The 12896-nt window shown below is 40.7% G+C and overlaps 1 protein-coding gene across 16 annotated transcripts in view; it reads left to right on the top strand.

Moving 5' to 3' along the window:
- The window catches only part of TTC6 (tetratricopeptide repeat domain 6), a 247089-nt gene that overhangs the window by 170253 nt on the left and 63940 nt on the right, over positions 1 to 12896 (top strand). Inside the window, exon 1 of one of the 16 annotated variants that reach the window (NM_001368142.2) lies at positions 6502 to 6689. The exons of the other annotated variants lie outside the window; for them this stretch is intronic. The gene's annotated coding sequence lies outside the window, so the exon portion shown is untranslated. Of the gene's footprint in view, positions 1 to 6501; positions 6690 to 12896 lie in introns of those variants that run through there. 16 annotated transcript variants of the gene reach the window in all.

The following is a 12896-nucleotide window of genomic DNA, read 5'->3' on the forward strand; positions in this document are numbered from 1 at the left end:
GATTTCTAATGAGAAATTGCATTAGTCTTATTGAAGATCCTTTGTATATGATGAGTCACATCTCTCTTGGTGCTTTCAATATTCTCTCCCACACCATCCCCCAAGATTTTCTTTGTCTTTGGTTGTTGACAGATTGATCATAATGTGTCTCTATGTGAAACTCTTTGAGTTCATCCTGATTGGAGTCCTTGAACTTCTTGGATTAATACATTCATTTCTTTCATCAAATTTGGGAAGTTTTCAACCATCCATTTTAAAAGTGTTATTTCTGCTCCTTTCTTTTTCTCTTCCTTCTGGAACTCACAACATATGCATATGTTGGTTGTTTCTTTTTTTAACTTTTATTTTAGGTTCAGAGGTACATATGCACATTTATGATATAGGTAAATTTGTGTCACAGGGGTTTGGTTTACAAATTATTTCATCACCAAGGTGATAAGCACAGTAACCAATACGTAGTTTTTTGTTCCTTAGCCTCCCTCTCTCCACTCTCAAGTAGAACCCCATGTCTATTGTTCCCTTATTTGTGTCCATGTGTTCTCAATATCTAGCTCCTACTTATAAGTGAGAACATGCAGTATTTGGTTTTCTGTTCCTGCATTAGTTTGCTTAGGATAATATCCTCCAGTTTTATTCATGCCACTGCAAAGGACATGATCTTGTTCATTTTTATGGCTGCATAGTGTTCCATGCTGTATATGTACCACGTTTTCTTTACTCAATCTGTCATTGATGGGCATTTAGATTGATTCCATGTCTTTACTATTGTGAAAATTGCTTCAGTGAACATACACATGCATGTGTCTTTATGGTACAATGATTTATATTTCTTTGGGTATATACCCAATAATGTGATTGCTGGGTTGAATGGTAATTCTGCTTTGAGTTCTTTGAGAAATCATCAAACTACTTTCTTTTTTTTATTTTTTATTATTATACTTTAAGTTTTAGGGTACATGTGCACATTGTACAGGTTAGTTACGTATGTATACATGTGCCACGCTGGTGCACTGCACCCACTAACTCGTCATCTAGCATTAGGTATATCTCCCAATGCTATCCCTCTCCCCTCCCCACATCCCACAGCAGTCCCCAGTGTGATGTTCCCCTTCCTGTGTCCATGTGATCTCATTGTTCAATTCCCACCTATGAGTGAGAATATGCGGTGTTTGGTTTTTTGTTCTCATGATAGTTTACTGAGAATGATGATTTCCAATTTCATCCATGTCCCTACAAAGGACAAGAACTCATCATTTTTTATGGCTGCATAGTATTCCATGGTGTATATGTGCCACATTTTCTTAATCCAGTCTATCATTGTTGGACATTTGGGTTGGTTCCAAGTCTTTGCTATTGTGAATAATGCCGCAGTAAACATACGTGTGCCTGTGTCTTTATAGCAGCATGATTTATAGTCCTTTGGGTATATACCCAGTAATGGGATGGCTGGGTCAAATGGTATTTCTAGTTCTAGATCCCTGAGGAATCGCCACACTGACTTCCACAATGGTTGAACTAGTTTACAGTTCCACCAACAGTGTAAAAGTGTTCCTATTTCTCCATATCCTCTCCAGCACCTGTTGTTTCCTGACTTTTTAATGATTGCCATTCTAACTGGTGTGAGATGGTATCTCATTGTGGTTTTGATTTGCATTTCTCTGATGGCCGGTGATGATGAACATTTTTTCATGTGTTTTTTGGCTACATAAATGTCTTCTTTTGAGAAGTGTCTGTTCATGTCCTTCGCCTACTTTTTAATGGGGTTGTTTGTTTTTTTCTTGTAAATTTGTTTGAGTTCATTGTAGATTCTGGATATTAGCCCTTTGTCAGATGAGTAGGCTGCGAAAATTTTCTCCCATTTTGTAGGTTGCCTGTTCACTCTGATGGTAGTTTCTTTTGCTGTGCAGAAGCTCTTTAGTTTAATTAGATCCCATTTGTCAATTTTGACTTTTGTTGCCATTGCTTCTGGTGTTTTAGACATGAAGTCCTTGCCCATGCCTATGTCCTGAATGGTAATGCCTAGGTTTTCTTCTACGGTTTTTATGGTTTTAGGTCTAATGTTTAAGTCTTTAATCCATCTTGAATTGATTTTTGTATAAGGTGTAAGGAAGGGATCCAGTTTCAGCTTTCTACATATGGCCAGCCAGTTTTCCCAGCACCATTTATTAAATAGGGAATCCTTTCCCCATTGCTTGTTTTTCTCAGGTTTGTCAAAGATGAGATAGTTGTAGATATGCGGCGTTATTTCTGAGGGCTCTGTTCTGTTCCATTGATCTATATCTCTGTTTTGGTACCAGTACCATGCTGTTTTGGTTACTGTAGCCTTGTAGTATAGTTTGAAGTCAGGTAGAGTGATGCCTCCAGCTTTGTTCTTTTGGCTTAGGATTGACTTGGTGATGCGGGCTCTTTTTTGGTTCCATATGAACTTTAAAGTAGTTTTTTCCAATTCTGTGAAGAAAGTCATTGGTAGCTTGATGGGGATGGCATTGAATCTATAAATTACCTTGGGAAGTATGGCCATTTTCACGATATTGATTCTTCCTACCCATGAGCATGGAATGTTCTTCCATTTGTTTGTATCCTCTTTTATTTCATTGAGCAGTGGTTTGTAGTTCTCCTTGAAGAGGTCTTTCACTTCCCTTGTAAGTTGGATTCCTACGTATTTTATTCTCCTTGAAGCAATTGTGAATGGGAGTTCACTCATGATTTGGCTCTCTGTTTGTCTGTTGTTGGTGTATAAGAATGCTTGTGATTTTTGTACATTGATTTTGTATCCTGAGACTTTGCTGAAGTTGCTTATCAGCTTAAGGAGATTTTGGGCTGAGACAATGGGGTTTTCTAGATATACAATCATGTCGTCTGCAAAGAAGGACAATTTGACTTCCTCTTTTCCTAATTGAATACCCTTTATTTCCTTCTCCTGCCTGATTGCCCTGGCCAGAACTTCCAACACTATGTTGAATAGGAGTGGTGAGAAAGGGCATCCCTGTCTTGTGCCAGTTTTCAAAGGGAATGCTTCCAGTTTTTGCCCATTCAGTATGATATTGGCTGTGGGTTTGTCATAGATAGCTCTTATTATTTTGAAATACGTCCCATCAATACCTAATTTATTGAGAGTTTTTAGCAAGAAGGGCTGTTGAATTTTGTCAAAGGCCTTTTCTGCATCTATTGAGATAATCATGTGGTTTTTGTCTTTGGCTCTGTTTATATGCTGGATTACATTTATTGATTTGCGTATATTGAACCAGCCTTGCATCCCAGGGATGAAGCCCACTTGATCATGATGGATAAGCTTTTTGATGTGCTGCTGGATTCGTTTTGCCAGTATTTTATTGAGGATTTTTGCATCAATGTTCATCAAGGATATTGGTCTAAAATTCTCTTTTTTGATTGTGTCTCTGCCCGGCTTTGGTATCAGAATGATGCTGGCCTCATAAAATGAGTTAGGGAGGATTCCCTCTTTTTCTATTGATTGGAATAGTTTCAGAAGGAATGGTACCAGTTCCTCCTTGTACCTCTGGTAGAATTCGGCTGTGAATCCATCTGATCCTGGACTCTTTTTGGTTGGTAAGCTATTGATTATTGCCACAATTTCAGCTCCTGTTATTGGTCTATTCAGAGATTCAACTTCTTCCTGGTTTAGTCTTGGGAGAGTGTATGTGTCGAGGCATTTATCCATTTCTTCTAGATTTTCTAGTTTATTTCTGTAGAGGTATTTGTAGTATTCTCTGATGGTAGTTTGTATTTCTGTGGGATCAGTGGTGATATCCCCTTTATCATTTTTTATTGCATCTATTTGATTCTTCTCTCTTTTTTTCTTTATTAGTCTTGCTAGTAGTCTATCAATTTTGTTGATCCTTTCAAAAAACCAGCTCCTGGATTCATTAATTTTTTGAATGGTTTTTTGTGTCTCTATTTCCTTCAGTTCTGCTCTGATATTAGTTATTTCTTGCCTTCTGCTAGCTTTTGAATGTGTTTGCTCTTGCTTTTCTAGTTCTTTTAATTGTGATGTTAGGGTGTCAATTTTGAATCTTTCCTGCTTTCTCTTGTGGGCATTTAGTGCTATAAATTTCCCTCTACACACTGCTTTGAATGCGTCCCAGAGATTCTGGTATGTTGTGTCTTTGTTCCCGTTGGTTTCAAAGAACATCTTTATTTCTGCCTTCATTTCGTTATGTACCCAGTAGTCGTTCAGGAGCAGGTTGTTCAGTTTCCATGTAGTTGAGCGGTTTTGAGTGAGATTCTTAATCCTGAGTTCTAGTTTGATTGCACTGTGGTCTGAGAGATAGTTTGTTATAATTTCTGTTCTTTTACATTTGCTGAGGAGAGCTTTACTTCCAACTATGTGGTCAGTTTTGGAATAGGTATGGTGTGGTGCTGAAAAAAATGTATATTCTGTTGATTTGGGGTGGAGAGTTCTGTAGATGTCTATTAGGTCTGCTTGGTGCAGAGCTGAGTTCAATTCCTGGGTATCCTTGTTGACTTTCTGTCTCATTGAACTGTCTAATGTTGACCGTGGGGTGTTAAAGTCTCCCATTATTAATGTGTGGGAGTCTAAGTCTCTTTGTAGGTCACTCAGGACTTGCTTTATGAATCTGGGTGCTCCTGTATTGGGTGCATATATATTTAGGATAGTTAGCTCTTCTTGTTGAAGTGATCCCTTTACCATTATGTAATGGCCTTCTTTGTCTCTTTTGATCTTTGTTGGTTTAAAGTCTGTTTTATCAGAGACTAGGATTGCAACCCCTGCCTTTTTTTGTTTTTCATTTGCTTGGTGGATCTTCCTCCATCCTTTTATTTTGAGCCTATGTGTGTCTCTGCACGTGAGATGGGTTTCCTGAATACAGCACACTGATGGGTCTTGACTCTTTATCCAATTTGCCAGTCTGTGTCTTTTAATTGGAGCATTTAGTCCATTTACATTTAAAGTTAATATTGTTATGTGTGAATTTGATCCTGTCATTATGATGTTAGCTGGTTATTTCGCTCATTAGTTGATGCAGTTTCTTCCTAGTCTCGATGGTCTTTACATTTTGGCATGATTTTGCAGCGGCTGGTACCGGTTGTTCCTTTCCATGTTTAGTGCTTCCTTCAGGAGCTCTTTTAGGGCAGGCCTGGTGGTGACAAAATCTCTCAGCATTTGCTTGTCTGTAAAGTATTTTATTTCTCCTTCACTTATGAAGCTTAGTTTGGCTGGATATGAAATTCTGGGTTGAAAATTCTTTTCTTTAAGAATGTTGAATATTGGCCCCCACTCTCTTCTGGCTTATAGGGTTTCTGCCGAGAGATCCACTGTTAGTCTGATGGGCTTCCCTTTGAGGGTAACCCGACCTTTCTGTCTGGCTGCACTTAACATTTTTTCCTTCATTTCAACTTTGGTGAATCTGACAATTATGTGTCTTGGAGTTGCTCTTCTCAAGGAGTATCTTTGTGGCGTTCTCTGTATTTCCTGAATCTGAACGTTGGCCTACCTTGCTAGACTGGGGAAGTTCTCCTGGATAATATCCTGCAGAGTGTTTTCCAACTTGGTTCCATTCTCCCTGTCACTTTCAGGTACACCAATCGGACGTAGATTTGGTCTTTTCACATAGTCCCATATTTCTTGGATGTTTGCTCTTTTCTTTTTATGCTTTTTTTCTCTAAGCTTCCCTTCTCGCTTCATTTCATTCATTTCTTCTTCCATTGCTGATACCCTTTCTTCCAGTTGATTGCATTGGCTCCTGAGGCTTCTGCATTCTTCACGTAGTTCTCGAGCCTTGGTTTTCAGCTCCATCAGCTCCTTTAAGCACTTCTCTGTATTGGTTATTCTAGTTATACATTCTTCCAAATTTTTTTCAAAGTTTTCAACTTCTTTGTCTTTGGTTTGAATGTCCTCCTGTGGCTCAGAGTAATTTGATCGTCTGAAGCCTTCTTCTCTCAGCTCGTGAAAGTCATTCTCCATCCAGCTTTGTTCCGTTGCTCGTGAGGAACTGCTTTCCTTTGGAGGAGGAGAGGCGCTCTGCTTTTTAGAGTTTCCAGTTTTTCTGTTCTGTTTTTTCCCCATCTTTGTGGTTTTATCTACTTTTGGTCTTTGATGATGGTGATGTACAGATGGGTTTTTGGTGTGAATGTCCTTTCTGTTTGTTAGTTTTCCTTCTAACGGACAGGACCCTCAGCTGCAGGTCTGTTGGAGTACCCTGCCGTGTGAGGTGTCAGTGTGCCCCTGCTGGGGGGTGCCTCCCAGTTAGGCTGCTCGGGGATCAGGGGTCAGGGACCCATTTGAGGAGGCAGTCTGCCCGTTCTCAGATCTCCAGCTGCGTGCTGGGAGAACCACTGCTCTCTTCAAAGCTGTCAGATAGGGACATTTAAGTCTGCAGAGGTTACTGCTGTCTTTTAGTTTGTCTGTGCCCTGCCCCCAGAGGTGGAGCCTACAGAGGCAGGCAGGCCTCCTTGAGCTGTGGTAGGCTCCACCCAGTTGGAGCTTCCCTGCTGCTTTGTTTACCTAAGTAAGCCTGGGCAATGGTGGGCGCCCCTTCCCCAGCCTCGCTGCCGCCTTGCAGTTTGATCTCAGACTGCCGTGCTAGCAATCAGGGAGACTCCGTGGGCGTAGGACCCTCCGAGCCACGTGTGGGATATAACCTCGTAGTGTGCCGTTTTTTAAGCCCGTCGGAAAAGTGCAGTATGCAGGTGGGAGCGAACGGATTTTCCAGGTGCCGTCCGTCACCCCTTTCTTTGACTAGGAAAGGGAACTCCCTGACCCCTTGCGCTTCCAGAGTGAGGCAATGCCTCGCCCTGCTTCGGCTCGCTCACGGTGCGCGCACCCACTGACCTGCGCCCACTGTCTGGCAGTCCCTAGTGAGATGAACCCGGTACCTCAGATGGAAATGCAGATATCACCCGTCTTCTGCGTTGCTCACGCTGGGAGCTGTAGACCGGAGCTGTTCCTATTCGGCCATCTTGGCTCCTCCCTCCAAACTACTTTCCACAATGGCTTAACTAGTTTACATCCCCACTAGCAGTCTATAAGCATTCCCTTTTCTTGGCAACCTCACCAAGAAAATGTCATTTTAATAATAGCCATTCTGACTGGTGTGAAATGGTATATCATTGTGGTTTTGATTTGCATTTCTCTAACGATTAGTGATATTGAGCATTTTTTCATATGCTTATTGGCTGCATGTATGTCTTCTATTGAAAAGTGTCTGTTCATGTCCTTGGCCCACTTTTTAATGCTATTGTGTGTGGGTTTTTTTGTTTGTTTGTTTGTTCATTTGTTTTTAAGTTCCTTATAGATTCTGGATATTAGACCTTTGTCAGATACACAGTTTGCAAATACTTTCTCCCATTCAGTAGGTTGTCTGTTTACTCTGTTGATAGTTTCTTTTGCTGTGCAGAAGCTCTTTAGTTTAATTAGGTCCCATTTGTCAACTTTGTTTTTGTTGCAATTTGCTTCTGGCATTTTCATCATGAAATCCTTGCTAGGTCCTGTGTCCAGAATGATATTTACTAGGTTATCATGCAGAGGTTTTATAGTTTTAGATTTTGCATTTAAGTTTTTATCTTGAGTTGATTTTTGTATATACTGTAAGGTAGGGGTTTCAATCTTCTGCATATGGCTAGCCAGTCATCCCAGCACCATTTATTAAACAGGGAGTCCTTTTCCCATTGCTTGTTTTTGTCAACTTTGTCCAACATCAGATGGTTGTAGGTGTGTGGTATTATTTCTGGGCTTTTTATTCTGTTCCATTTGTTTATGTGTCTGTTTTTGTACCAGTACCATGCTGTTTTGGTTGCTGTGGCCTTGTAGTATAGTTTCAAAATGGGTAATGTAATGCCTCCAGCTTTGTTCCTTTTGCTTAGAATTGCCTTGGCTTTTTGGGCTCTTTTTTGGTTCCATGTGAATTTTAAAATGGCTTTTTCTGATTCTGTGAAGAATCTCATTGGTAATTTGATAGGAATATTATTGAATGTGTAAATTGCTTTGGGCAGTATGACCATTTTAACAATGTTGATTCTTTCTATCCATGAGCATGGAATGTTTTTTTCGTTTGTTTGTGGTCATCTCTGATTCCTTTGAGCAGTGTTTTGTAATTCTCATTGTAGAGATCTTTCACCTCCCTAGTTAGCTGTATTCCTAGGTGTTGTATTCCTACTGTGGCTATTGTGAATGGGATTGCATTCTTGATTTGGCTTTCAGTTTGGATATTCTTGGTATGGAGGAATGATACTTCTTTTTTATACATTGATTTTGTATCCTGAAACTTTTCTGAAGTTGTTTATTAGATCAATGAAATTTTGGGCAGAAACTATGGGGGTTTTCTAGGTATATAATCATATCATCTGGAAATAGGGATAGTTTGACTTCTTCTCATCCTATTTGGATTCCTACTTTTTTTTTCTTGCCTGATTACTGTGGCCAGGACTTCCAGTACTATGGTCAATAGGAGTGGTGAGAGAGGGCATACTTGTCTTTTTCTGGTTTTTAAGGGGAATGCTACCAGCTTCTGTCCATCCAATTTGGTGTTGAGTATAGGTTTGTCATCAATGGCTCTTGTTATTTTTAAGCATGTTCTTTCAATTTCAAGTTTTTTAAGGGTTTTTAACATAAAGGTTTCTGCGTCTATTGAGTTAATCATCTGGTTTTTGTTTTTAGCTCTGTTTATGTGATGAATCACATTTATTGATTTGCACGTGTGTAAACAACCTTGCATCTCAGGGATAAAGCCTACTTGCTCATGGTGGATTAGCTTTTTGACTTGCTGCTGGATTTGGTTTGGTAGTATTTTGCTGAGGATTTTTGCATCTGTGTTCATCAAGGGTGTTGGCCTGAAGTTTTCATTTTTGTGTTTGTCTCTCACAGGTTTTGACATCAGGATAATGCTGGCCACATAGAATGAGTTAGGAAGAGGCTTCTCCTCTTCAATATTTTTGTAATGGTTTCAGTAGAAATGGTACCAGCTCTTCTTTACACATCTGGTAGAATTTGGCTCTGAATCTCTCTGGTTCTGGGCTTTTTCTTGTTTGTAGGCTTTTTATTACTGATTCAATTTTGGAACTTGTTATTGGACTATTCAGGGTCAATTTGTTCCTATTTCAATTTTGGGAGGGTATATGTTTCCAGGAATTTATTCATTTCCTTTATGTTTTCTAGCTTGTGTGCATAGTGTTCATAGTAGTCTCAGAGGGTTTTTGTTTTTCTGTGAGGTCAGTGATGACACCCCTTTGTCATTTTTGATTGTGTCTGTTTGGATCTTCTTATTTTGTAATTTATTAGCCTAGTTAGTGGTCTATCTATCTTATTAATTCTTTCAAAAACATAACTACTGGATTTGTTTATCTTTTGTATGGCTTTTCACATCTCAATTTCCTTCAGTTCAGCTCTGATTTTGGTTATTTCTTTTCTGCTATCTTTCAGGTTGGTTTGCTCTTGATTGTCTAGTTCCTCTAGTAGTGATGGTAGGTTGTTAATTTGGCATCTTCCTAAGTTTCTAATGTGGGCATTTAGTGCTATAAACTTTCCTCTTAACACTGCGTTAGCTGTATCCCAGAGATTCTGGTATATTGTATCTCTGTTTCCATTAGTTGCATAGAATTGTTTGATTTCTGTCTTAATTTCATTATTTATCCAAAAGTCATTCAGGAGTAGGTTCTTAAATTTCCATGTAATTTTGTGGCTTTTGAGCAATTTTCTTAGTATTGATTTATATTTTTACTGTGCTGTGGTCCAAGAGTGTGGTTGGTATGGTGGAGAGTTCTGTAGATGTCTGTTAAGTCTATTTGGTCAAATGTCAGGTTCAATTCCTGAATATCTTTGTTAGTTTTCTGCCTCAATGACTTGTTAATACTGTCAGTGGGGTGTTGAAATCTCCCACTATTATCTTGTGGTTATCTAAGTCTCTTCATAGGTCTCTAAGAACTTGCTTTATGAATCTAGGTCTCCTATGTTGGGTGCATATATTTTTAGGATAGTTAGATCTTCTTGTTGGATCGAACCCTTTACCATTATGTAATGCCCTTCTTTGTCTTTTTTGATGTTTGTTGGTTTAAAGTCTGTTTTGTTTTAAATTAAAATAGCATCTCCACCTTTTTTTCTGATTTTGATTGGCTTGGTGGGTTTTTCTCCATACCTTTACTTTGAGCCGATGGGTGTCATTGCATTTGGCGTACCACTGGGTCTTGATTCTTTTTTTTTTTTTTTTTTTTTTTTTGAGACGGAGTCTCGCTCTGTCGCCCAGGCTGGAGTGCAGTGGCGCAATCTCGGCTCACTGCAAGCTCCGATTCCCGGGTTCACGCCATTCTCCTGCCTCAGCCTCCCGAGTAGCTGGGACTACAGGCGCCCGCCACCGCGCCCGGCTAATTTTTTGTCTTTTTAGTAGAGACGGGGTTTGGGTCTTGATTCTTTATTCATCTTGCCACTGTATGCCTTTTCATTGGGGCATTTAGCCTGTTTACATTCAAGGTTAGTGTTGATGTGTGTGTATTTGATCCTGTTATAATGTTGCCAGGTGGTTATTAAGCAGACTTGTTTGTGTGGTTGCTTTATAGTATCATTGGTCTGTGTACTTAAGTGTGTTTTTGTAGTGGCTTGTAATGGTCTTTCCTTTCCATATTTAGCATTCCCTTCAGGACCTCTTTCTTGTAAGGCAGGTCTGGTGGTAATGAATTCCCTTATCATTTGCTTGTTTGAAAAGGATTTTATTTCTCCTTTACTTATGAATGTTAGTTTGATTTGATATGAAATTCTAGGTTGGAAATTCTTTTCTTTAAGAATGCTGAATATGGGCTGAGGATGGATCACCTGAGGTGATCACCAGAGGTCAGGAGTTCAAGACCAGCCTGGCCAATGTGGTGAAACCCCGTCTCTACCAAAAAAATACACAACTTAGCCAGATGGGGTGACTATAATGTCAGCTACTGGGGAGGCTGAGGCAGGAGAATCACTTAAATCTGGGTTGGGCGGGGGCGGGCTGAGGTTGCAGTGAGCCGAGATGGCACCATTTAACTCTAGCCTGGGCGCAAGAGTGAAACTCCATCTCAAAAAAAAAATTGCTGAATATGGGCCCCCAATCTCTTCTGGCTTCTAGGGTTTCTGCTAAAAGGTCTGCTGTTAGCCTAATGAGGTTCCCTTTGTAGGTGACCTGTCCTTTCTCATTAGCTACCTTTAGCATTTTTTTCTGTCATTTAGACCTTGGAGAATCTGATGACTATGTGTCTTGGGGATGGTCTTTTTATGTAGTATTTTGCAGGGGTTCTCTGCATTTCTTGAATTTGAATGTTGGCCTTTCTAGCAAAGTTGGGGAGATTTTCATGGATGATATACTGAAATAAATTTTCCAAGTTCCTTGATTTCTCTCCCTTTCTTTCAGGAATGCCAATGAATCATAGATTTGGTTTATGTACATAATCCCATATTTCTTGGAAGTTTTGTTTGTTCTTCTTTATTGTTTTTTCTTTATTTTTGTCTGACTGAGTTATTTCAGGGAACTGGTCTTTGAACTCTAGATTTTTTTACTCAGCTTGGTCTGTTCTGCTGTTAATACTTGCAATTGTATTCTGAAATTCTTAAAGTGCTTTTTTTCAGCTCTATCAGTTCAGTCTGGTTCATTATTAAAATGACCATTTCATCTTTTATCTGCTGTATCATTTTATTGTATTCCTTAGAATCCTTGGTTTGGGTTTCAAATTTCACCTGAATCTCAATGATCTTTGTTCCTATCCATTTTCTGAATTCTGTTTCTGTGATTTCAGCCATTTCAGCCTGGTTAAGAGCCATTGCTGCGGAGTGAATGCGGTCATTTGGAGGTAATAAGACACTGGGGTTTTGAGTTGCCAGAGTCCTTGTGCTGGTTCTTTCTCATCTTTTTGGGCTGAAGTTCCTTCAGTCTTTGAAATTTGTCTCCTTCGTGTAGGTTTTTTTTTTTTTTTTTTTGATGCTTTTATCTTCTTTGAAGTTTTTGGGGGTTTGATTGTGGTATAAGGTGGGTGCAGTTGACTGGTTTTGTTTCTGGAAGATTACAGGGGCCTAAGTCTTAGCTCAGCACTCCTGGGCTGCATGTTCTAACTCTGGGGGAGTGGTATTAGGTTTCTGTCTTTGTTCTCTGGCCCCTTAAGTTGGGAACCTGCTGTGCTGGAGGGGCCAAGGTGTTCCCAGACCACTGGCTACAACACTTTGATGGGTGGTGCCAGCCAATGTGCTTCATTGGGTGGTGGCAGCAGGATCTGTGCTCCCTTTGCACATGCCAGCAGCAGTGGCGGTACAGTGGGGTGCATGCTTATCAGCTGGGGTGGTGTGCTGGTGGGCATAGGGATGTCAGCCTCTGTGTGGGTGTTCACAGTGACTGCAGTGGCAGCGTTAGGGGTGACAGGGACACTGGTGTCCATTCATGTGTTTGTGGCAGGGTTGGGTAGGGGTTCAGGTCCTGGTGGATGTTGGGCTCATGGCCTTCATGTGCGTGTTCTTATGGTGGCAGTGGCAGGTGTAGGGCTGGTGGTCTCTGTGTGTGCATTTGCACTGGCAGCAATGGCAGTGCAAGGCTAGGGGTGGTGCTGCTGATCTCCATGTGTGTGTCTGCACCAACAATGGTGGCCCAGCAGTGAGGGTGGCAGAGTATGCTCATGCCAGCAGCTAGTGGCATGGTGGGGTGCACATGCAATTGCGCATCATTGAGGAAGGGATGGTGAAATCTGCCCACATGTGTGTGCACCTACAAAGTGATGAGGGAGTGGCCATTGATGACTGTGGGCCAGCAAAGCAGAGTTGGGGAGGCCCTGGTGGAGGGAGGTTGCAGGTGGACCGGTGCCTGTCATCTGGAACTGCTCTGCTGGACCCCTCCAATAGTCAGGGGTGGTCTGCCAGTGCAAGAGGTATGACGTGGACCCCTGGGAGGCACCCTGGTTGGGCATCTGAGGCTGCACTA

The sequence above is a fragment of the Homo sapiens genome, chromosome 14, assembly GCF_000001405.40.
Source record: "Homo sapiens chromosome 14, GRCh38.p14 Primary Assembly".
Lineage (NCBI taxonomy): Eukaryota > Metazoa > Chordata > Mammalia > Primates > Hominidae > Homo > Homo sapiens.